Raw genomic sequence first — 25,357 nt, forward strand, 5'->3', positions numbered from 1 at the left:
GGGCCCTAATCAAGCCCCCCGGCCTTCCTGGCACTTCTTTCTCTCTGTTTGGCTAGGATTGCTCCCCATACCCCAAAGTATTCATGCATTATATCCCCAGGGAGGGGCTCAGTGGCAGCAAGGGTAGGCCCATCAGTAATGTGAGCAATGAGGTCATCGAGCTTCGCAAAGAGTCCCTCACTTGGTGGAGGAGAAATTCTGGCAGCCCAGGGTTTTCTTTCTCAAGGGATTCTAATAGGCATTCAGCTGGGTCCCCCCTCAAAGTGGGTTATCAGGAGGCCTATGCCAGAATCACCACCAACCTGGATTTCTTTGTTTTCAATGTCTCTACTTGGAATTCCTTAGATGGAATGATGCCTTAGGGGAGGGAGAGAACTTGGGTGTGAGTGAGCTAGGATCTGAAAAAAGGATGGGATTCGGGGTAGGGTAGAGACCAAGAGGCCTAGGCCAGATTTGTGCAACCTCATGCACAGGCCAGGGAAAAGCTGGCCCTGGTGCTCCACAAGATGAGAAGTGTTAAGGTAGGAAGGCAAGGGTGCCAGAGACTCTGCGTGTAGTCTCTCGCTCTTGCCAAGACCCAGCAAGAGCTGGTGAGGCTGATGATGTATTTAGTTGAAGGCCAACTCTGCATCAGCTAAACACAATTTGCTAAGTCTGCTCAGCTTTGGCCCTGAGCCCTCACCCAGGGAAGCGCAGACAGCTTATCCATAGAGCTCGCTGGGAGGGGATACAGGAGCTCTGGATTGTGGAGGCTGATGGAGAAAGGTCCTGGCCGAGGACCTGGGGACTGGGGAGGACATGCTGGAAAAAGGATCTTTCACAGAGGAAGGAGCCCCTGCTATGAGATGGCTGTGGAGTAAAAGATGTTAGAAGTATGTGGAAGGGCCAGGCGCAGTGGCTCATGCCTATAATCCCAACACTTTGGGAGGCCAAGGTGAGTGGATCACCTGAGGTCAGGGGTTCGAGAGCAGCCTTGGCCAACATGGCGAAATCCCCGTCTCTACTAAAAATACAAAAATTAGCCAGGTATGGTGGCAGACACCTGTAATTCCAGCTACTTGGGAGGCTGAGGCAGGAGAATCACTTGAACCCTGAAGGGAGAGGTTGTAGTGAGCCGAGATCTCACCATTGCACTCCAGCCTAGGTGGCAGAGTGAGATTCATTCTCAAAAAAAAAAAAAAAAATGCCAGGCACGGTGGCTCATGCCTGTAATCCCAGCACTTTGGGAGGCCGAGGTGGGCGGATCACGAGGTCAGGCGATTGAGACCATCCTGGCTAACACGGTGAAACCCTGTCTCTACTAAAAATACAAAAATATTAGTCCGGTGTGGTGGCGGGCACCTGTAGTCCCAGCTACTTGGGAAGCTGAGGCAGGAGAATGGTGTGAACCCGGGAGGTGGAGCTTGCAGTGAGCCGAGATCGTGCCACTGTACTCCAGCCTGGGTGACAGAGCAAGACTCTGTCTCAAAAAAAAAAAAAGAAAAAGAAAAAAAGAAATATGCTGAAGGGATAAAAGGATGAGACACAAAAAACAGCCTCAAACTACAAACCCTCAGTGTAGGACACAGCAACACTTCCTTTCTTTTTAGATTAACTTTATTGAGTTAAATATAAAATAAAATATGAAATAAAAATGCACCGTTTTTATTTTATTTCATTGGAGATAGCATCTCACTTTGTCAGCAAGGCTGGAGTGCAGTGGTATGACTATAGCTCACTGCAGCCTCACTTCCTTGCCTCAAGCCATCCTCCTGCCTCAGCCCCCTGAGTACTTGGGACCACAGGTATATGCCACCATGCCCAGCTAATTTTCTTTCTTTCTTTCTTTCTTTTGTATGAAGGGGTCTCGCTATGTTGCCCAGGTTAGTCTTGAACTCCTGGCCTCAAGCAATCCTCCCTCCTTGGCCTCCCAAAGCACTGGGATTACAGATATGAGCCATCACACCTGGCCGAAATATACCAGATTCAAGTATACAGTTCGATGGGTTTTGACAAATATATAAACCCATGTAAACAGCACCACAATCTAGATATAAAACGTTTCTCTAAAAGTTCCCTCCTGCATCATTGCAGCCAGTCTCTCTGCAGCTACTGGCCCCAGGCAACCACTGATCTGGTTTCTGTCACTATTGAATAGTTTTGCAAATCTGAGATTTTCATATAAATGAACACATAGAATATGGGCTCTTTTGTGTGTGGCTTTCCTCAGTTGTTGCATGTACCAGTAGTTTGTTTCTTTTTATCGTTGAGTAGATTCTACTGTGTAGCTAGCTATACCACAGTTTGTTTATTCATTCACTTGTTGGTGGACATTTTGATTGTTTTCAGTTTGGGGCTGTGATGAAGAAAGCTTCCTTCAACATTTGTGTACAAGTCTTTGTGGATACAGCCAGACACGGTGGCTCACGCTTGTAATCCCAGCACTTTGGGAGGCCAAGGCAGGCGGATCACCTGAGGTCAGAAGCTCAAGACCAGGCTGGCCAACATGGCGAAACCTTGTCGTTACTAAAAAATACAAAAATTAGCCAGGCATGGTGGCGGGCACCTGTAATCCCAGCTACTCAAGAGGCTGAGGCAAAGAGAATTGCTTGAACCCAGGAGGCAGAGGTTGCAGTGAGCTGAGATTGCGCCACTGCACTCCAGCCTAGGTGACAGAGCGAGACCCTGTCTCAAAAAAAAACAAGTCTTTGTGGATACATATTTACATTTGTTTTAGGTATGTATCCAGCAGGGGAATTGTTGAATCTTGTGCTAAGTGTATGTTAACTTTATAAGAAATTGTGGCTAGGTGCAGTGGCTCATGCCTGTAATCCCAGCACTTTGGGAGGCTGAGGTGGGAGAATTGCTTGATCTCAGGAGTTTGAGACCAGCCTGGGCAACATAGTGAGACCTGGTCTCTACTAAAGTTTTTAAAAATTAAAAAAAATTAGCCAGGCATGGGGGTGTGCACCTGTGGTCCCAGCTACTTGGGAGGCTGATGTGGGAGGATCGCTTGAGCCCAGGAGGTCAAGGCCACACTGATCCGTGATCGTGCCACTGCACTCTAGCCTGGGGGACAGAGCAAGAACCTGTCTCAAAAAAAAAAAAAAAAAAAAAAAGAAGAGAAAAAAGAAAAAGAAATAGAAAAGAAAAAAAGAAATTGCCAAATTATTTTTCAAAGTGTCTGCAACATTTCAGGCATCCCCAGCAACTTATGAGAGTTCCAGTTGCTCTACATCTTTGTGCACTTTTGGTATTATCCATCTTTTTTCTTTTCTTTTTTTGAGGCAGTCTCTTTTTTTGAAAAAAATTTAATTTAATTTAATTTAATTTTAAGTTGTGGGATACAGCTGCAGGCTGTGCAGGTTTGTTACATAGGTAAACCTGTGCCATGGTGGTTTGCTGCACCTGTCAACCCATCACCTAGGTTTTTTTTTTTTTCCGAGACAGAATCTTGCTCTGTCACCCAGGCTGGAGTGCAGTGGCATGGATCTCGGCTCACCACAACCTCCACCTCCCAGGTTCAAATGATTCTCCTGCCTCAGTCTCCCGAGTAGCTGGGATTACAGGCGTCTGCCACCACACCCAGCTAAGTTTTGTATTTTTAGTATAGACAAGGCTTCACCATATTGGCCAGGCTGGTCTGGAACTCCTGACCTCATGATCCACCTGCCTGGGCCTCCCAAAGTGCTGGGATTACAGGCATGAGCCACCACGCTCGGCCATTGCCTAGGTATTAAGCCCTGCATGCATTAGGTATTTATCCTGATGCTCTCCCTCCCCCCATCCACCAACAGGCCTCGGTGTGTGTTGTTCCTCTTCTTGTGTCCATGTGTTCTCATTGTTCAGCTCCCACTTGTAAGTGAGAACATGCGGTGTTTGGTTTAGTGTTCTTGTGTTAGTTTGGGGCAGGCTCTTGCTCTGTCACCTAGGCTTGAGTGCAGTGGTGTGACCATAGCTCACTGCAACCTCAACCTTCCAGGCTCAAGCGATCCTCCTGTCTCAGCCTCCCAAGAAGCTGAGACCACAGGCTCGTGTCAACAAGGCTGGCTAATTTTTTAAGTTTTTGTAGAGATGGGGTCTCTCTACATTGCCCAGGCTTGTCTCGAATTCCTGGGCTCAGGCGATCTTCCTGCCTTGGCCTCCCAAAGTGCTGGAATTACAGGCGTTAGCCACCGTGCCTGGCCTCCATCTTTTTTCCTTTAATCATTCTACTGGGAGTGTAGTAAAGTCTCATTGTGGGTTTAATTTGCATTTCCTTGATAATTAATGATGTTTTTAAATTTTATTTTATTATTATTATTATACTTCAAGTTTTAGGGTACATGTGCACAACGTGCAGGTTAGTTACATATGTATACATGTGCCATGCTGGTGTGCTGCACCCATTAACTCGTCATTTAGCATTAGGCATATCTCCTAATGCTATCCCTCCCCCCTCCCCCCACCCCACAACAGTCCCCGGTGTGTGATGTTCCCCTTCCTGTGTCCATGTGTTCTCATTGTTCAATTCCCACCTATGAGTGAGAACGTGCAGTGTTTGGTTTTTTTGTCCTTGCAATTAATGATGTTTAATGTGCCTATTTGTCATTCATATATCTTTTTTGGTGAAATGACTGTTCAAATCTTTTGTCCATTAAAAACAATTGGGTTGGCAGGGTGCGGTGGTTCATGCCTGTAATTCCAGCACTTTAGGAAGCTGAGACGGGCAGATCACTTGAGATCAGGAGTTTTTGACCAGCCTGGCCAACATGGTGAAACCCCATCTCCACCTCCACTAAAAATACAAAAATTAGCCAGGCGTGATGGCACACGCCTGTAATCCCAGCTACTCGGGAGGCTGAGACAGGAAAATCGCTTGAACCTGGGAGACAGAGGTTGCAATGAGCCAAGATCATACCACTGCACTCCAGCCTCGGTGACAGAGCGAGATTCTGTCTCAACAAAACAAAACAAAACAATTGGATTACTTGTCTTCTTTTTATTGAATTATAAGTGTTCTTTATATATTCTGGATATGAATTCTTTGTCTGACATATGCATTGTAAATATTTCTCCCAGGTTGTGACCTGTGACTTCCCTGTTTTGTTTTTGTTTTTGTTTTTTGTTTTTTGTTTTTTTTGAGACAGAATCTCGCTCTATCGCCCAGGCTGGAGTGCAATGGCACGATCTCGACTCATTGCCACCTCCGCCTCCCGGGTTCAGGCGATTCTTCTGCCTCAGCCTCCCGAGTAGCTGGGATTACAGGCATGTGCTACCATGCCTGGCTAATTTTTGTATTTTTAGTAGAGACAGGTTTCACCATGTTGGCCAGGCTGGTCTTGAACTCCTGACCTCAGGTAATCCACCCGCCTCCACCTCCCAAAGTGCTGGGATTACAGGCATGAGCCAACACGACTGTCCTGACTTCCCTGGTTTTTTTTTTTAGAGGCAAGTTCTCACTCTGTCCCCCAGGCTGGAGTGCAGTGGTACAATCATAGCTCACGGCAGCCTCCAACCCCTGGGCTCAAGAAATCCTCCCACCTCAACCTCCCTAGTAGCTAGGACTATAGGCACGTGCCCCCATGTCTGGCCTCTTTTCATTTTCTGAAAGTGTGAAGAGCAGAAGATTCAAATTTCAACAGAGTCAGGCTTATTGTTTCCTTTATGGTGAATGCTTTTGGTGTCCTAAGAAACCACCGCCTACCCCAAAGTCAGAAAAAAATTTCTTTTATGTTTTCTTTTAGAATTTTACCATTTTAGCTTATATTTTTAGCTCTGTGATCCTTTTCTAGTTTATTTTTGTGTGTATTATGAGGAAGGGGTCAAGGTATATTTTTTTCCCCCTAAGACTATATAGTTGTTCTAGTATCATTTGTTGAAAAGATATCCTTTCCTCTTTAAACTACCCTGGCACATTTGTAAAAAAATCAATTGACAAAACATGTGTGGATCTATTTCTGGACTCTGTTCTGCTTTATTGATCTGTGTGTCCACCCTTATGCCAATACCATACTTGACTTGATTACTGTAGCTGTACAGTAGGTTTTGAAGTCAGGTGATATGAGTCCTATTTTGCTCTTCTTTGTCAAGATAGTTTTGGATATCCTAGGCCCTTTGAGTTTCCACATAAATTTTAGAATTAGCTTGTCAATTTCTGCAAAAATTACTGGATAATTATTATTGGGATTGTATTGAATCTATATATCAATTTTGGGAGAATTAACATTTTAACAATATTGAGTCGGCCGGGCATGGTGGCTCACGCCTGTAATCCCAGCACTTTGGGAGGCCGAGGTGGGCCTCAGGATCACCTGAGGTCGGGAGTTCGAGACCAGCCTGACCAACATGGAGAAACCCCGTCTCTACTAAAAATACAAAATTAGCCAGGCGTGGTGGCACATGCCTGTAATCGCAGCTAGTAGGGAGGCTGAGGCAGGAGAATCGCTTGAACGTGGGAGGCAGAGGTTGTGGTGAGCCGAGATCGTGCCATTGCACTCCAGCCTAGGCAACAAGAGCGAAACTCCAACTCAAAAAAAAAGAAAAAGAAACACAATATTGAGTCTTCCTATTTGATGGGTAATTTTAGGTGTCAACTTGACTAGATTAAGGGTACCTAGAAACCTGATAAAGCATTATGTTTGGGTGTGTCTGTGAAGGTGTTTCTGTGTGAGCTACTGCGCCTGACCAACAGTTCTAATATTAAATATTGAAATAAATGTGAGCTCTACATACATTTAAAAAAGATTAGGGCTAGGAGTAGTAGCTCATGCCTGTAATCCCAGCACTTTGGGAGGCCAGGGAGGACCACTTGAGGCCAGAAGTTCAAGACCAGCCTGAGCAAGAACCCATCTCTACAAAAAAATTAAAAATTAGCTGGATATGGTAATGCGCACCTGTAGTTCTAGCTATTCAGGAAGCTGAGACAGCAGGATCGCTTGAGGCCAAGAGTTCGAGGCTGCAGTGAGCTATGATCACACCACTGCACTGCACTCCAGCCTGGGCGACAGAGTGAGACCCTGTCTCTAATAATAACAATAGTAGTAATGTTTGTAGGGCTGGGAGCATTGGCTCATGCCTGTAATCCCAGCACTTTGGGAGGCTGAGGCAGGCAGATCACTTGAGGTCAGGAGTTTGAAATCAGCCTGGCCAATATGGTGAAACCCCACCTCTGCCAAAAATACAAAATTAGCCAGGCATGGTGGTGCGCGCCTGTAATCCCAGCTACTCGGGTAGCTGAGGCAGGAGAATTGTGTGAACCTGGCAGGTGGAGGTTTCAGTGAGCTAAGATTGTGCCACTGCATTTCAGCATGGGTGACAGAGTGAGACTTGGTCTCAAAATAATAATAATAATGATAATGTTTGTAAGAATAAAAAATAGTAAGACATTTAAAAATTAGATGTGGCTGGGTGCGGTGGCTCATGCCTGTAATCCCAGCACTTTGGGAGGCTGAGGCAGGCAGATCACTTGAGTTCAGGAGTTTGAAATCAGCCTGGCCAATACGGTGAAACCCCACCTCTGCCAGAAATACAACATTAGCCAGGCATGGTGGTGCGCGCCTGTAATCCCAGCTACTCGGGTAGCTGAGGCAGGAGAATTGTGTGAACCTGGCAGGTGGAGGTTTCAGTGAGCTAAGATTGTGCCACTGCATTTCAGCATGGGTGACAGAGTGAGACTTGGTCTCAAAATAATAATAATAATGATGATGTTTGTAAGAATAAAAATTAGTAAGACATTTAAAAATTAGATGTGGCTGGGCGCAGTGGCTCATGCCTATAATCCCAGCACTTTGGGAGGCCAAGGCGGGCGGATCACGAGGTCAGGAGATCGAGATCATTCTGGCTAACACAGTGAAACCCCGTCTCTACTGAAAAATAGAAAAAAATTAGCCGGGCGTGGTGGCAGGCACCTGTAGTCCCAGCTACTCGGGAGGCTGAGGCAGGAGAATGGCCTGAACCCAGGAGGTGGAGCTTGCAGTGAGCCGAGACTGAGCCACTGCACTCCATCCTAGGAAACAGAGAGAGACTCCGTCTCAAAAAAAAAAAAAAGAAAAAAAAGAACTGCATCATTTACTGTCATGCATGTTTATAATTATCATAGACTGGATGAATTTTTATTTTATAATAATTTATGTGCATTAATTCATTTTCCAATCTGCTTATTCCAGTTCAGGGCTGCAGGTGGCTGGACCCTGTATGTTTGTTTGTTGGTACTAATGGCACCTTCTCATTTCATTTTCCAATTGTTTATTGCTAGTATATAGAAATACATCTGATTTTTGCATATTGGCCTTGCATTCTGCAACTTTGCCCAGTTCACCTATTGGTGCTACCAGTTTTGTTTATTGCTTTTGTTAATTGCTTAGGGTTTTCTATATATGTGTCATATTAACTGAATAAAGATGGTTTGGACTGGGCGTGGTGGCTCACGCCTGTAATCCCAGCACTCTGGGAGGCCGAGGTGAACGGATCACCTGAGGTCAGGAGTTTGAGACCAGCCTGGCCAACATAGCGAAACCCCACCTCTACTAAAAATACAAAAATTAGCTGGGCATGGTGGTGTGTGCCTGTAGTCCCAGCTACTTGGGAGGCTGAGGCAGGAGAATCGCTTGAACTCAGGAGGCGGAGGTTGCAGTGAGCCGAGATCGCGCCATTGCACTCCAGCCTGGGTGATAGAGAGAGACTGTCTCAAAAAAAAAAAAAAAAAAAACAGATAGTTTTGGCCAGGAGGGGTGGCTCATACCTGTAATCCCAGCAATTTGGGAGACCAAGGCGGGAGGATTGCTCGAGCCCAGGAGTTTGAGACCAGCCTGGGCAACATAGTGAAACCCCATCTCTATTTAAGAAAAAAAAAAAGTTTTTTTAATTAAAAAAAGACATTTCTTCCTTTATTAGCTGTATGCCCCACATTTCTAGATCACCCCACTTGGTCTTGATATACTATTTGTTTGTGTATCGCGGGTTTTTTTTTTTGAGATGGAGTCTTGTTCTGTTGCCCAGGCTGGAGTGTAGTGGCGCAATCTCAGCTCACTGCAACCGCTGCCTCCCAGGTTCAAGCAATTCTCCTGCCTCAGTCTCCCAAGTAGCTGGGATCACAGGCGTGCACCACCACACCTGGCTGATTTTTTTTTTTTTTTTTTTTTTGAGATGGAGTTTTGCTCTTGTTGCCCAGGCTGGAGTGCAATGGCACAATCTCAGCTCATTGCAACCTCCTTCTCCTGGGTTCAAGTGATTCTTCTGCTTCCGAGTAGCTGGGATTACAGGCATGTGCCACCACGCCCGGCTAATTTTGTATTTTTAGTAGAGATGGGGTTTCTCCATGTTGATCAGGCTGGTCTTGAACTCCCAGCCTCAGGTGATCTGCCCGCCTCGGCCTCCCAAAGCACACCTGGCTAATTTTTGTGTTTTTTAGTGGAGACAGGATTTCACCATGTTGGCCAGGCTGGTCTCGAACTCCTGATCTCATGTGATCCACCCACCTCGGCCTCCCAAAGCACTGGGATTACAGGCATGAGCCACCACACCTGGCCTCCTTATAATATCTTTGGTTGTGGTATCAGGGTAATACTGGATTCATAAAAATTAATTGGGAAATATTCCTTCTTTCTCTGTTTTCTGAAATAATTAATGTATGATTAGGATTATTTCACCTTTAAGTGTTTGATAGAATTTTGCCAGTTTTTAAAAATAACTGCTTCAAGTCTTTAATATATAGAAGGCTATTCAGATTTTCTATTTCTTCTTGGGCCAGTTCTGGTAATATGTGTGTTTCAAGTAATTTGTCCATTTTATCTAAGTTGCCAAATTTATTCTATAAAGTTGTTAATAATACTCCTTTTTAATCCTTTTCATGTCTGTAGAATCTGAAGTGATATGCCCCCCACCCTTCATTCCTGATATTGGTATTTTTGTCTTTCCTCTTTTGTTGTTGATCAATCTAGCTAGAGGTTTATCAATTTCATTGGTCTTCTCATGGAAACAGCCTTTGCTTTCATTGATTTTCTTTACTGTTGTTCTGTTTATTATTTCACTGATTTCCACTCTTATCTTTATTATTTTCTTCCTAGTATTGCTTTTTGAAGGCCATAGAAGGGCATAGGCTTCTACTCCCATCTCCAATCATAAATCACAGAAGGTCTGAGTTAAAAGGGATCTTAGAAACAATCTTGTCCACCCCTTTCATTTTATAGGTGAACAGAAATTCAGAGGGGGAAGTGGTTTTCCTCCGGCCACTTAGCTTTCATCTATGGTCAATTCATTTATTCATGTATTCATTCCTTTCTTCATTAATATGTTCTTATTCATTCATGTTAGATATATTTGTTGAACTTATACTACGGACCAGAGGCTGTTCTAAGACCAAAGATGAATAAATTGCAGCCTTTGCTTTCAAAAATCTTCCATCCTAATGAGGGAAGTAGCAAGTTCTCAGCCAATGCAGTGACAAGTGCCATAGCAGAGGTAGTCTCAGAATGCCATGAAAGCACCGAGAAAGTGATTCAAACTCTGATGGATGATGTGAAGATGAGGATGGGGGCAGAAGATGCTCAGGGAAGACTTCAAAGAAGACGTTTAAAATAGGTCCACCAGGCAAGTAACTTTTTCACTCCAGAGAGAGCTTTGTGAATCTACTAAAACTTTGTCTAAATAAGGCAAATGGAAAGCAATACAAGTCTCAATAAGCAGCCACCAATTAATCAATTAGCTAATTCGGTGTCCAGCATCAGCTATGAGGATTGGGAAAACACAGATTATGCGATGATTCAATCACGCTTTCCAGAGAATAAATATTCTCTCAGATTCCCATTTATTGATTTTCTATTTTGCAAGTGGCTGATCCCATCCATAGAAGGTAAATATATTTAGAAGCTATAGAGTTATCGGCCAGGCGAGGTGGCTCATGCCTGTAATCCCAGCATTTTGGGAGGCCGAGGTGGGCGGATCACCTGAGGTCAGGAATTCAAGACCAGCCTGGCCAACATGGCAAAACCTGTCTCTACTAAAAATACAAAAATTAGCTGGGCGTGGTGGTGTGCACCTGTAGGCCCAGCTACTTGGAGGGGCTGAGGCAGGAGAATCACTTGAACCCAGAGGCAGAGGTTGCAGTGAGCCTAGATTGCGCCACTGCACTCCAGCCTGGATGACAGAGCAAGACTCCGTCTCAAACAAACAAACAAACAAACAAACAAGAACCTGTAGAGTTATCTTAGCGATATTGACATCCTTTTCTATTATCTCCTTATCTATTGCTGCATAACAAATTACCCCAAAACTTAGTGACTTAAATAATAAATATTTTTCATCTTACACAGTTTCTGTGGGTCAGGAATTTGGGAGTGGCTTAGTTGAGTGATTCTGGTTCAGGGTCTCTCATGAGGTTTTTCATGAAACTATTGGCTGGGGTTGCAGTCTCTAAAGACTTGTCTGGGACTAGAGGATCTTATTCCAAGCTCACTCACCTGGCTGTGGGCAGGAGGCCTCAGTTCCTTGCCATGTGGGTCTTTCTACAGAGCTGCTTGATATGGTGGGCGGCTTACCCCACAGCAAGTGATTGAAATGCCACTCTGCATTTCATGACCTGATTCATCCCGCATTGTAACTTCTGCCTTATTCTATTCATTAGAAGTGAGTCATAGCTGGGCACAGTGGCTCACTCCTGTAATCCCAGCACTTTAGGAGGCCTAGGCGGGTGGATCACTTGAGATCAGGAGTTTGGGACCAGCCTGACCAACATGGTGAAACCCCGTCTCTACTAAAAATACAAAAATTAGATGGACGTGGTGGCAGGCACCTGTAATCCCAGCTAATCGGGAGGCTGAGGCAGGAGAATTGCTTGAACCCGGCAGGCGGAGGTTGCAGTGAGCCGAGATCTTGCCATTGCACTCCAGGCTGGGCAACAAAGCAAAAAAAAAACAAAAAACAAAAAAGTGAGTCACAAAGTCTCAAAAAGAAAAAAGAAAAAAGAAGTGAGTCACAAACCACAAAGTCCAGCCCAAACTCAATGAAAAGGGATTACTCAAGGGTAAGGACATGAACACCAAGAGGGGGATTACTGGGGGACATCCTGGAGATTTACTACCACAGATATCTTTATGGGCTGACTACAATTTTAATAATCTGGAAGTTTAGTGACATTGAGATTTAAATGGTCAATCCATCTTTGCCTCATTTTCCACACAGCACTGTAAGGAAAAAGTCCTAATTCTTAGAAATGAAATTATTTCCTAGAATCTTGTCCTCTTTAAATATATTGTACTATTATATACTAAAATAAAAAATAATGGTTAGACCTACACATATGCAGTGAAAAAAAGAAAAGAAAACAAACAACAAACAAAAGTAATGGGAGTTTTTATTGAGAACCCAATCCAGTCCCATGATGGGAGAAATATCTTATATATTAGAAGGCAACTTCAAAAAATCTTTGGCCAGCCGAGGTGGCTCACGCCTGTAATCCCAGCATTTTGGGAGGCCCAGGCAGGCGGATCATGAGGTCAGGAGTTCAAGACCAGCCTGGCTAACATGGTGAAACCCCGTCTCTATTAAGATACAAAAAATTAGCCAGGTGTGGTGGCACGCACCTGTAATCCGAGCTACTCAGGAGGCTGAGGCAGGAGAATCGCTTGAACCTGGGAGATGGAGGTTGCAGTGAGCCCAGATCATGCCATTGCACTCTAGTTTGGGCAACAGGGCAAGACTCCGTCTCAAAAAAAAAAAATATTCTGGAAGGATGTATCCTTTGGCAGTTTGGAATTACGCAGGAGTATGACTCTTACTGTTGCTTATTCTAGAGACTGGGGATGTAGGCATGAATAAGACAGAGGTGAGTGGGGGATGAGGAGCTATTGTCATCTTATTGAGTAAGAGCAAGGCCAAATTCACAGTGTTAGGTTCAACAGAGTATTCTGTAGTGGAGGAATCTGCAGGTTTTCACGACAACCTCTGTCTGCAGAGGGGCAGGGCTCTGGAAATTACCTTCAACAGCTGAAGAAATCCCTGAAAATGTGACTGGGCAGTGTGGAAGTAAACATTTTAAGGGCTAACTTGGAGTTCTAAGCCAATGATTGAAGATTTGGAAAGGAATCATGTTGTTGATTGGGGGTGCAGGGGTCACATGGCTATTGGTATAGATTTCACTGATGAAAGCCTGCTTTTAACAGAATAGATTCTTCAGCTTGCATAGCTAGTTCGTCATGAAAAATATATTTAAAGTGGGAACCTGTAGGCCGAGCCAAGTGACTCATACCTGTAATCCCAGGACTTTGGGGGGTCAAGGCAGGTGGATCACATAAGAACAGGAGTTTGAGACCAGCCTGCCCAAGATGGTGAAACCCCATCTGTCTCTACTAAAAATACAAAAATTAGCTGGGCATGGTGGTGCACGTCTGTAATCCCAGCTACTCGAAAGGCTGAGGCAGGAAAATCGCTTGAACCTGGGAGGCGAAGGTTGCAGTGAGCCAAGATCGCACCACTGCACTCCAGCCTGGGCAACAGAGTGAGGCTGTCTCAAAAAAAAAAAAAAAAAAAAAAAGTTGGACAGGTACTAAGAACCCTGATAATTTTTCTGAGACTGAAGAGAACAGAACACAGTGAGCAGGCTTGTGCAGACTCAGAGGCCCAGCTGTGAAGTGTGGAAGATCACCCACCCTCATGCACCCTGGTGACAAGGAAGGGCTCTTACCTACAGAAGTAACCCAGCAGGGATATATCTAATTATTTTCTAGAAGGATATGATTTAAGGATTGCCATGTACTCCTTGGCTCTCAAAATAAAATAAGATTTTTTTCAGGGAGAACTATATGTTAAAGAGAACTGATTCAGGTGCAGTAACAAAGGCCAATGTCACAGTGGATTATACAAGATAGCTGTTTATTTGTCTCTCAGGTAATTGTCCAAAAATAAGCACTACAGGGCTTTCTGGAGGCTCCATGGTATCAGGAACCTAGATTCCTCACCCATTTTCTTTTCTTTTCTTTTTTCTTTCTTTCTTTTCTTTTTCTTTTTCTTTTTTTTTTTTTTTTTTTTGAGACAGAGTCTTGCTCTGTCACCCAGGCTGGAATGGTGTAGGGGCATCGATCTCGGCTCATTGCAAGCTCCACCTCCCAGGTTCATGTATTTCTTCTGCCTCAGCCTCCTGAGTAGCTGGGACTACAGGCGCATGCCATCACACCCAGCTAATTTTTGTATTTTTAGTAGTGACAGGATTTCGACATGTTGGCCAGACTGGTCTTGAACTCCTGACCTCAAGTGACCGCCCTCCTCGGCCTCCCAAACTACTGGGATTACAGACATGAGCCACTGCGCCTGGCCCTCACCCATTTTCAATGCCCTTTTCTCATCTCATGGCTTAGGATACCAGCTATAGCTCCAGCCACCATGCCTGCATTCCAGCCAGCAGAAGGGAGAAAGAGAGAATGGGCAGAATATACCCTTTCCTTTAATGGCCATAACCAGGAAGTTGCATATATCCCTGTGCTTAGGTCCTATAGGGCAGAACCGGGAAGTATGCATCCCTCTGTTTAGGTCCTATAGGGCCAAACCAGCAAGCAAATATCCCTCTGCTTAGGTTTCTATAGGGCAGAACCTAGGGACATGGCTGTACTTAGCTGCAAGGGAGACTGGGATATGCAACCTTTTTTTTTTTTTTTTTCGCTCTTGTTACCCAGGCTGGAGTGCAATGGCGTGATCTTGGCTCACCACAACCTTCTCCTCCCGGGTTCAAGGGTTCTCCTGCCTCAGCCTCCCAAGTAGCTGGGATTACAGGCATGCGCCACCACAGCTGGCTAATTTTGTATTTTTAGTAGAGATGGGATTTCTCCATGTTGGTCAGGCTGGTCTCGAACTCCCGACTTCAGGTCATCCACTCGCCTTGGCCTCCCAAAGTGCTGGGATTATAGGTGTGAGCCACCTCACCCGGCTATATGCAGCCTTTTAACGTATCATTATTTTCTTAGCTAAAACTTATATTATTCTAGAAGGAAGAAACAGATACTTGAGGACAATTACCAATCTATGACATAAGAACCTCCTGTAATCTTGCCTAAAGGAAGGCAAATAAGATTGGTAATAGATAAACATCCTTTTAATAGACTATAAACTTTATTATAGCAAGGAGCTTCACACTTTTTGGTCAGTACTTTGTCTTCATTGCCTAGCAGAGCTTTGGCATGTAGGAGGGTTCCAATACGTATTTATCAGGTGAATGAATAAATGAGAGGCAGCTAGATGTAAGAAGAATTCCAGAAAATACTTCACTGAGCCTCCTCCCAAAAACTTGTGCTGCAAGGATCCAGTCCACTGTATTTTGTTTGTTTGTTTGTTTTAGTTTTTTTTTTTTTCTTTTTAGATGGAATCTTGCTCTGTCTCCAGGCTAGAGTGCAGTGGCATGATCTCGGCTCACCGCAACCTCCACCTCCTGGGTTCAAGTGATTCTCCTGCCTCAGTCTCCCGAGTAGCTGGGACTACAGCACCACCACACCCGCTAATTTTTGTATTTTTAGTAGAGATGGGGTTTCACCAGGTTGGCCAGGATGGTCTTGATCTCTTGACCTCGTGATCCACCCTCCTCGGCCTCCCAAAGTGCTGGGATTACAGGCATGAGCCACCGTGCCTGGCCTTCCACTGTGTTCCTGTTGTTGTTGTTAAAATTAAACCTACAGAGATATGTTGAGAGCTCTTCCCAAAGTGAAATTTCGTACCTACCACACCCAACCTGACAAGTAATATGCTCTTTTTATAGGTTTGGTCTAATGTCCAGTGATGGTACATTTCAGATGCACATAGAGCAATTTGATGGCATATGATGTGAGAAAGCCAGGCTGTTCCAGCAGTTCAGATGGGTTATCACTATAACTATCTTCCTGATGGAGTTTTTCCCCAGGATCTCTTATCTTACACAGATTAATCCTTATAGACAGGAGGGGCCAGCTTTGGTGCAAATGGAGCATCTAGAAGGGGTGGTTGGAAGGGCCCACTCCAGAAGGCAGAGAGGGCAGCCAGCCTCCTCCTCCACTTAGGGCCTGGGTTAGCCTTGAAGCTCTCCCCTGAGGGCTGTGTTTCCAGCCTCTGCGTTTAATAAGCAGAGAGAATTGAAAACAGTAAAAAAATGGAAGATAATACAACAGTCAATAAAAAGATAAAGTAAACTAAGAAGAAATAAAAAAAAGGTGGTAAAAACAGTTAAAAAAAGAGGGCGGCAGGCAATAAAGTGATAATATGAACTAAAAATAAACCAAATAAGCTAAAAAGAAATTAAAAGCTAGAACAAAGACATGACAAGGCAAAGGTTAGAAATAAAAGATGCGGAATAAAAAGATAATACAATAACAATAAATCTAGATAAGATGAGATCAAAGAAAATAGTATAAAGTAGCTAGAAGACAAAACAGAGATTAAAAATGACTGAGATAAGCAAAATCATTAAAACCAGAAAAATAAAAAGACTAAAGGGATTAAAACAATAAAATGTATTCAACCAATACCAAAAGAAATAAAAAATTTAAAAGACTGAGCTATGGGGGAAGGGAGTAATAGATCAATTTTGCTTCAAGTTAAAATAATGCTGCAATATAAGTACAAACATATCCCTCATTCAGATGCATTCTTTGGTCCAGGCAACCTAAGGCTATGCAGACCTTCCAGCATCTAAGCCTCTATATATTAATTTGCTAGGGTTCCCCTAACAAACTATTACAGACACGGTGGCTTAAACAACAGAAATTCATTTTCTCACATTCTAGACAGTAGAAATCCATGGTCAAGGTGTAAGCAGGTTGGTTCTTTCTGGGGGAAATACCCGTTCCAGGCCTCTCTGCTTAGCTTGTACATGACTGTCTTCTGCCTGTGACTCTTCCCATCAGCATCTCTTTGTATGTCTCTGCGTCCAAATATCATCTTGTAAGGACACCAGTCACATTGGATTCGGACCCACTCTCGTGATCTGATTTTAATTTATTTTTATTTTTTTTTAATTTTTTAATTTTTTATTTTATTTATTTTTTTTGAGACAGAGTCTCGCTCTGTCACCCAGGCTGGAGTGCAGTGGCTTGATCTCAGCTCACTGCAAGCTCCGCCTCCCGGGTTCACGCCATTCTCCTGACTCAGCTTCCCAAGTAGATGGGACTACAGGCGCCCACCACCATGATTTTAATTTAATTACCTCTGTAAAGATCCTGTCTCCAAATATGGTCACATTCTAAAGTGCTGGGAGTTAGAACATGTGAATTCGGGGAGTGGAGGAGGACAGAATTCAGCCCATAACAGCAACCCTGCAAGAAGTCCCTGGGAGGATCCCTTTGGGCAGAGAGGTGAAGGCAGCAAGCAGAATCTTTGACCTCTTTCTTGCCTAATTTGGGGCCTCCGACACAACTGACTTTTTTTCTGAGTAATATTTTTTATTTCACTTGGACCCACAAGTCAGTGAGGCTGAGCCCTAGAAGGACAGGTCTCTACAGTCCCTAACCCATTTTCTCTTATGATGTTAGGGTTGCTGAGAGCAAGAAATGTTCTGAAGGTCCGTTCTCCTATGGCTAATGAAGAGGCCCACCCATGAGGCCAGGCCTGATGTGCTTGGCTGCTCGTGCCAAGAAACTTCTGCAACCGGGAGCAACACCTTGTGAGATGAAAGGTGTTTTCTAAATCCCCTAGGATAGACATCATGTTCTTCAGCAGGATTTTGGAGCTTTGTACATCTCACTGTCTTCTGCCTTTTCCAAACAGGGAAGCCTGGGATAGCTGGTCATCACTGGTTACCAGAACACCCCACTCTTGGGAATGGGTTTTCTGTACTTGGTTTCTCTCTTGCTCAAAGGTGAATGTCTTAATCCATTCAGGCTGTTAACAAAATACCTTAGACTAGGTAATTTATAAACAACAGACATTTATTGCTCAAAATTCTAGAAGCCAGAAAGTCCGAGATCAAGATGCTGGCAGACTCAGGGTCTTAGGATGGCCCAGTCTTCATAGATGGCACCATCTGTGTCCTCCACATGACTGAAGGGGCAAACAGGCTCCTCAAGCCTCTTTCATAAAGGCACTAATCTCATTCATGAAGAGTCTGCCTTCATGACCCCTCCAAGGCCCCACATCTTAATAGGATCCCAGTGGGGATTAAGTTTCAACATATGAATTTGAGGGGACACCATCATCTAGACCATAGCACATGCTCAGAAATGTGTGCAGTGGAGAGGTCTGTCTCTCTCTTTCTCTCTCTCTCTCTCTCTCTCTCACACACACACACACACACACACACACACGCACGCATACATTGAGCAGGCAGACAGAGCCCAGCCCCAAGCTCCTCCTGACAGGGCTGGCTTTATGGATGTGCAACCTGTGCACTGTGCTCAGAGGGCCCTACACTTGATGCTCTGCTTTTGCCATCTTGAAATTCTTAACAATTTTGGAACATTTCTTTCTTTTTTCTTCCTTCTTTCCTTCTTTCCTTCCATCCCTCCCTCCCTCCCCCTCCTTTCTTTTCTTTTTTCTTTCTTTCTTTTCTTTCTTTTTCTTTTTCTCTTTCTTTCTCTCTTTCTTCCTTTCTCTCTTTCTCTTTCTTTTTCTTTCTTTCTTTTTCTCTTTCTTTCTTTCTCTTTCTTCCTTTCTCTTTCTCTTTCTTTCTTTCTTCTCCTTCCTTCCTTCCTCTCTCTCTCTCTCTTTCTTTCTTTCTCTTTCTCTCTCCTTCCTTCCTTCCTCTCTCTCTCTCTCTTTCTTTCTTTCTCTTTCTCTGTTTCTTTCAGGGTCTCATGGGTCTCTGTCACCCAGGCTGGAGTGCAGTGGCACGATCTCCACCTCTTGGGTTCAAGCAATTCTCCTGCCTCAGCCTCCCAAGTTGCTGGGACTACAGGTGTATGCCACCATGCCAGGCTAATTTTTGTATTTTTAGTAGAGATGGGGTTTCACCATGTTGGCCAGCTAGTCTTGAACTCCTGGCCTCAAGCGATCCACCCGTCTCAGCCTCCCAAAGTGCTGAGATTACAGGTGTGAGCCACCGCGCCTGGACTAATGTTGGAACATTTCATTTTGTACTGGACCCTGCAAGCTATGTAGACAGTCCTGCCTTCACTTCTTCACTTTCCACCACGTCCTGATGAGAAGGGATGCAGAAGCCACCAAGCTTTTTGACCGTGAGGTGTCCATCCAGGGCAGAGACTTGATCTTTGGGTACAGTTCTTAGCATAAGGTAAGCCCTTTGGAAAAAGAGGAGGAAGCACTCAAATGCCTTTGATTCAGTCCCCAGGGCTTCCTGTCTAGTCTTAACTCCCCAGTGAGCCCTCAGCTAAGGCTTGAATCTTGGAGTTGCCCACCTCTAATCTCCAGCCTTCAGACTTGGCCTGTCCCAGCCCTGTTCCCTTTGGGATCCCTGGCAGAAACCCAAAGGGGCGGAGAGGGGAGGGATGAAAGGAAAGTGAAAGTATCAGCCTCTCTGGATGCCCCTTCTCTTCCTCCTCCTCCCTCATCTCCCCCCCACCCCCCGCTGTTGTCATGGAGACCAGAACAAAGCCTCTCTTTCGCCTCTTTTCTGGATTGTTAATTGTCTTTACTCCATGGTGCCTTTGTTAATTGTTGCCAGTCCCTCCCAGGATGGGGATCTAGGTCTCCTCAAGGCAGGAAACAGGGATTTAAAAAAAGTTTGGGGATGGGTGTGGGGCACTGTAAGCCAGGTGGTAGGTGGGGAGGAGAAGAGGACTGAGGAGGCGGCCTAAGGATTTTCTAAATGGCCCAGGCTTCTGGGAGGGAAGCACCTTCTGCATCTCTTTTCCTCCCTCCCTCACCTGCCTTTGCTGGTGTGGCCCAGTGGCCCCTCTCTGTGGGAAGAGACAGAAGAAAATGAAAAAAACCACCATTGTGTGTATTCGCATGCGTGTGGGCGTCCTCTCAGGGGGAAGTGGCCCTGTCTTTGCACTGCCCCCATTCCAAGTAGATCAGGAAAACATGCGGCCTGATTGTTGGCCCTACACTTAGGACTCCAGATAATTACATTCACAGAGAGTGTGCACTAGCCCTGGAGGTGAGAATGACTACTCCAGCCCTCTTCCCAAGCTCATTCCCTGTGGCAGCTGAACACGTGAAGGATGGAGTGGAAAAGCTCTGGAAGTGTGCATGTGTGTAAAAAGGACTCAAGTCGCCAACATTAGCTGAACCCACACACTGAGTGGGGTCCCTGCGTGTTTCTGTGCCTGCGTGTTAAGGAGTGGTGGTATGGGTTGGGTCCTCTGTCCCTGGGAGATTCTGTGCCTGCGTGTTAAGGAGTGGTGGTATGGGTTGGGTCCTCTGTCCCTGGGAGAAAGTCCGCCACTCAGGAAATAGGAGGCTGACTGGCATACGGAAAGCAGAGAGCTGCTTCAACTTCTAGGGTCTAGGCTAGAATCTAGGGTACGGAATAATACTCAGCTGCTGTTTATTATATGTTTCAGATTCCAAGGACCAGAAAACCCCACAAGCAGCAAGGCAGCATGGTATGCTGGACAAAGCATGGATCAGAGGGCCGGAAAGCCTGGGTTCAGATGTCTGATGGTGCCCCTTCACTGTGTGGTCTTGGGAAATTTCCCTCCCCTTTCTGAGTATCTTTTTCCTCATCTGTGAAAGGAACTGTCCCGGTCTTCACAGAGCCGCTGATAGCTTAAGCGAGTCCTGTGTGTAACGTGCAGGCTTGAGTGAGCTATCCCTCCTTCTTGTGCCTCAGTCTTCTCTATTGCACAAAGAGGGAGCTGGAGGAGATGGTTCTGGACGGCCAATTCCTTCCAGATCTTTTTTTTTTTTTTTTGAGATGCAGTCTCGCTCTGTCGCCCAGGCTGGAGTGCAGTGGTGCGATCTCGGCTCACTGCAACCTCCACCTCCCAGGTTCACGCCATTCTCCTGCCTCAGCCTCTGGAATAGCTGGGACTACAGGTGCCCGTCACCACGCCTGGCTAATTTTTTGTATTTTTAGTAGAGACGGGATTTCATCGTATTAGCCAGGATGGTCTCGATCTCCTGACCTCATGATCCGCCCGCCTCGGCCTCCCAAAGTGCTGGGATTACAGGCATGAGCCACCGCACCCGGCTTCTTCCAGATCTTGTACTGTCAGATTCTGATAGGCAAATGAAACAGCTGTGACTTAATCTGTTACTTTCTTGATTGGCTCCATACCTGAGTGTGACTCCCTAGAAAAGCCCAAGTAGAACTGAGTAGAAGCCCACCTCAGGTCAGCCTGAAGGCAGTGCTTGCCTCTGAGAAGAAGCCCCACGGGCTGTGCCATGGTGCAAGACCCCCTGAGTGGGGCACCTCTGACTCACATCTCTAGCTATAGCCATCTGGAAAAGCCCTTGCTCAGACAGAAGGATGAAGAGTTGGTACCAGACAAACCTCATGAGGCTGGGCCTACCCTGATCTGATCCGACCTACAAGCACCCTCTTTCTAAGCTTTGCAGGGAAAATGGCCCTGGGTTAGGTGGGGGTGGGTGAGGGGACAGGCAGGACCCTTTTGAAGCAGAGCAGTGAGACCAGGATTCCAGTATGCTTCTTCCTGTTCTCAACCCGTGGGCTTTTGCTTTTTCTCTCAGAGCTTTCACTCTGGTGCTTGAGGAAAGTAATTCACACCATTTTGTGAATTTAATTCTTTTATTATCTCTCCCAAGGGCATTTGCATTTTACACCTTGTCTCTAACCTCGTAGGTTAAAGGGAAAATCAGAAACCTAGCACACCTGGGCACCGCAACCCCCACCTGTGTTTCAGGCTATGGCCACACACAAATCAGATAGGAGCCCTCGGAGCCCCCACTCCCTGAAGCCAAGCAGAGTCCTTCCTTCAGCAGGTATTCTGGAAATTAAATGGAGACTAGAGCAGACAAGGTCTCCCCTCACAGAGCCTATAGTCTAAAGGGAAGCAGGAAAAATACAAGAGGCCAGGCACGGTGGCTCACGCCTGTAATCCCAGCACTTTGGGAGGCCGAGGTGGGTGAATCATTTGAGGCCAGGAGTTTAAGACCAGCCTGGCCAACATGGTGAAACTCCATCTTTACTAAAAGTACAAAAAATTAGCCAGGTGGTAGTGGCGTGCGCCTGTAATTCCAGCTACTTGGGAGGCTAAGGCAGGAGAATTGCTTGAGCCCAGGAGGCGGAGGTTGTGGTAAATAGAGATCGCACCACTGCATTCCAGCCAGAGTGACAGAGCGAGACTCTGTCTCCAAAAAAAGAAAAAAAACACAAGAAAACAGAAAACAGATAAAACAAGTGCAATTGTGGTAAGTGCTATGAAAGAAGCAAACAGGGCTGAGAAACAGAATAAAGGTGGGATGGGGTAGAGGATGATTTTATATGGGAGGAAAGGGGAAGATGAGAGAAGAGACATTTTTGTTGAGACAAGAGGATGAAAAGGTGCCCACTCTAGGAAGAGGAGGGTTTGGGGAAGAACTTAACAGGTGTAAAGATTTTTATCGGGTTTGAAGTCTAGTTCAAGGCAGATCTTTCAATATGGGGATCTGATTGGGACTGGGCAAAATTTATAACAGTTTAGGATTGGAGGACATGGTGAAGGGAGGGTCTTGAAGAATAAACAATTGTTTGATAAGCTACTGGTTTGCCCAGTTAAGCAAACTATTGTCCCGAGAAGGGGGCTGTTTGAGCAGTCTATTGTTCAGATAAATTGATTTTCAGGAAGTTCCTGAAGGAAATAATGAAGTTATTTACCAGTTTACAGTCTTATCTTCCTGGGGAAGAAATTTCTGGAACAAATATTAAAGTCATGCAGATGTAGGCAGCCTCAGTGAAATGATGTCACCGCAGGTGAGGCCGTTGTAGTCTGGCTGAGTGGTAGGTAATTGTGGCCTGGACTAGGGTGGGGTGGTAAAGACAGGAATGGATGGATTGGGATATATTTTTGGAGATAGGCCAGTGACTCACTAAATTGATTAGATGAGCGAGAAACAATCACAGATGATGGCTAGGTTTTTGACTTGAGCCATTAGGTAGGTGGTAGTACCATTTACTGGATGGGAAAGAAGATGGTACTGGGTTGGGGATGATGGTTAAAGGTTCAATGTTAGGGTTAGGATGTGGAAGCCATCCTCACAGGGTTAGCAAGTATTACATGCTAGGTTCTGGGCGGAAATACTGTTATAATTTAACCTTAATAGGCAAGTGCGGTGGCTCACACCTGTAATCCCAGCACTTTGGGAGGCCGAGGCGAGAGGATCACTTGAGCCCAGGAGTTTGAGATTAGCCTGGGCAACATAGCAAGATCTTGTCTCTACACAAAATGAAAAACAATTAGCCAGGCAGGGTGGCTCATGCCTGTGTATGTAGTCCCAGCTACTTGGGAGGCTGAGGTGGAAGGATCACTTGAGCCCAGGAGGTTGAGGCTGCAGTGAGCCGTGACTTCACCACTGCACTCCAGCCTGGGTGACAGCAAGACCGTGTCTCAAAAAAGAAAGAAAGAAAGAAAAAGCATTAATTAGGTTGCACTTTGGCGCACTTCCTTGTTGCTAAAAGTTCCATAGAACCAGATACTGACCATTTGCATCCCCATTTTTCCTATAGATAGGATTTCTGATGTTAGAATCATAAGGCTTTTGTTGAAGAATCGATTTGCATCCCCATTGTTCCTATAGATAGGATCACTGACGTTGGAATCATAAGGCTTTTGTTTAAGATTTGCTTAAGATGTTTTTAGCTCTTGAGTTCCAGCAGAATGGCTGATGCCACCAGTTTGAAGACCCTCACAGAGGAGCGTAATCAGCATGAGAATGCAGTTTCTTCATCTCCCTGTCCCGTGACTCTGCGTCACGGGACATCCACAGTGATCCCCACACCTCGGCCCACTCCAAACCCCTTAAAATCCCTAGCCCCCAACTCTTCGGAGAAGCAGATTTGAGGTTTTCTCTCCTCTCCTTGTTCAGCCTTGCATTTAAAATTCTTTTTCTGTTGCAACCCTCGGTGTTGGTGTATTGACTTGCAGGCCCTCAGGCAATGGACCCATTACGGTTACAATGTCTGTGAGGCCCTGGGGTAGAAACATCAAGTGTGTGGTTGGATAATAGTCTTGGATATTAAATAATTGGGAGAATCATCACCACATAGTTGGTACTTAAAGCTATGGAAAAGGACAAAATTTTACCTAGGGAGATGTGGTAGGAGGAAAATAGGGTGTAGGAGAGAGCCCACAGGGAATGCCCACCTGGAGACCAGGATGGAGGAGGGAACATAAAAAAGGGTGGCTGGGAAAGAGCAGCCAGTGAGGTGGGAGGACTCAAGAAAGTGTGGACTCATGAAGTGAGTGTTTCAAGGAGTGGCTGACTGGGTTACATCATGTAAATTTGATAGTTGTTCCTGGGAAATGGTGCAGTAGTAGAGAAAATCTAGAATCTTCAGTCAGATAGCTTCCTGTCTCACTAATTGGAGCTTCATTTTTCTTATCTCTAAAATGGGATTCCAGGTACTCAGGGACTTGCAAAGAGATGGAATTAAATTAAATTAAAAAATAAGATAAAATGGGGATAATGACACCAACATCACAGAACTGGGATAAGGTACAAATAGATACCATATAGGAAAACAGTATTGTGCCTAAGACCCAGTAGGGAGACACTTTATATCTTAATTTGGTGGCAGTGAGTGGAAGGGCTGATCTTTGCTCTTCCTCTCTTAATCTGCTGTTGCTAAGGACAGCTGCAGGGAGGTACCCACAATCAAGTTGCCCCCCTGAAGATGATCAGGGGCCAGAGAAAAACAACCAGATATATGGAAAACACAGGCATGTTGTCTGGGAGGAGGAAAGTCTTGGTGGCACTTGGGTACCCTTTTTTTTTTTTTTTTTTTTAGACAGAGTTTCCCTCTTGTTGCCCAGGCTGGAGTGCAGTGGCATGATCTCAGCTCACCACAACCTCCGCCTCCCGGGGTTCAAGCAATTCTCCTGCCTCAGCCTCCTGATTAGCTGGGATTACAGGCATGAGCCACCACGCCCGGCTAATTTTGTATTTTTAGTAGAGATGGGGTTTCTCCATGTTGGTCAGGCTGGTCCCAAACTCCCGACCTCAGGTGATCCTCCTGCCTCAGACTCCCAAAGTGCTGGGATTACAGGCGCGAGCCACCGCGCCCGGCAATTTGGGTAACCCTTTCATGATTTCTAGGATGGCTTCATCCATAGTTATCCAAACATCAAGCCTTTAATGTTGGCTTCTCCCACTCTCTTACACCCACCTGTTTTCTCCTTTCCATTCCCCCTACTCCCAGCTTAGCTCAGGCCTGCATCATTTTTACCCTGGCCACTGCCATTGTCTGGTCACTGGCCTCCTTCCTACCTCCAGCTAGATTGATGCCATCTGAGACCTTGCTTAGAATCCTTCAGTGGCTCCCCATTTCCTTCCATCAACAAGTATTGATCAATAAGTATTTATGAAGGGCCTGCTCTTTCCCAATCTC

At 45.3% G+C, this 25,357-nt stretch overlaps 2 annotated features.

Annotated features, from left to right (window-relative positions):
- Nucleotides 20,094–20,613: an enhancer, noted in NCBI's record as "H3K27ac-H3K4me1 hESC enhancer chr1:204035195-204035714 (GRCh37/hg19 assembly coordinates)". NCBI's record gives its function as "activates a minimal SCP1, AML or CMV promoter by ChIP-STARR-seq in primed H9 embryonic stem cells {active_cell/tissue: H9 hESC(primed)}" and the evidence as "EXISTENCE:reporter gene assay evidence [ECO:0000049][PMID:30033119]".
- Nucleotides 22,694–23,195: an enhancer, noted in NCBI's record as "H3K27ac hESC enhancer chr1:204037795-204038296 (GRCh37/hg19 assembly coordinates)". NCBI's record gives its function as "activates a minimal SCP1, AML or CMV promoter by ChIP-STARR-seq in naive H9 embryonic stem cells {active_cell/tissue: H9 hESC(naive)}" and the evidence as "EXISTENCE:reporter gene assay evidence [ECO:0000049][PMID:30033119]".

This window comes from Homo sapiens, chromosome 1, assembly GCF_000001405.40.
Source record: "Homo sapiens chromosome 1, GRCh38.p14 Primary Assembly".
In the NCBI taxonomy this organism is placed as follows: domain Eukaryota; kingdom Metazoa; phylum Chordata; class Mammalia; order Primates; family Hominidae; genus Homo; species Homo sapiens.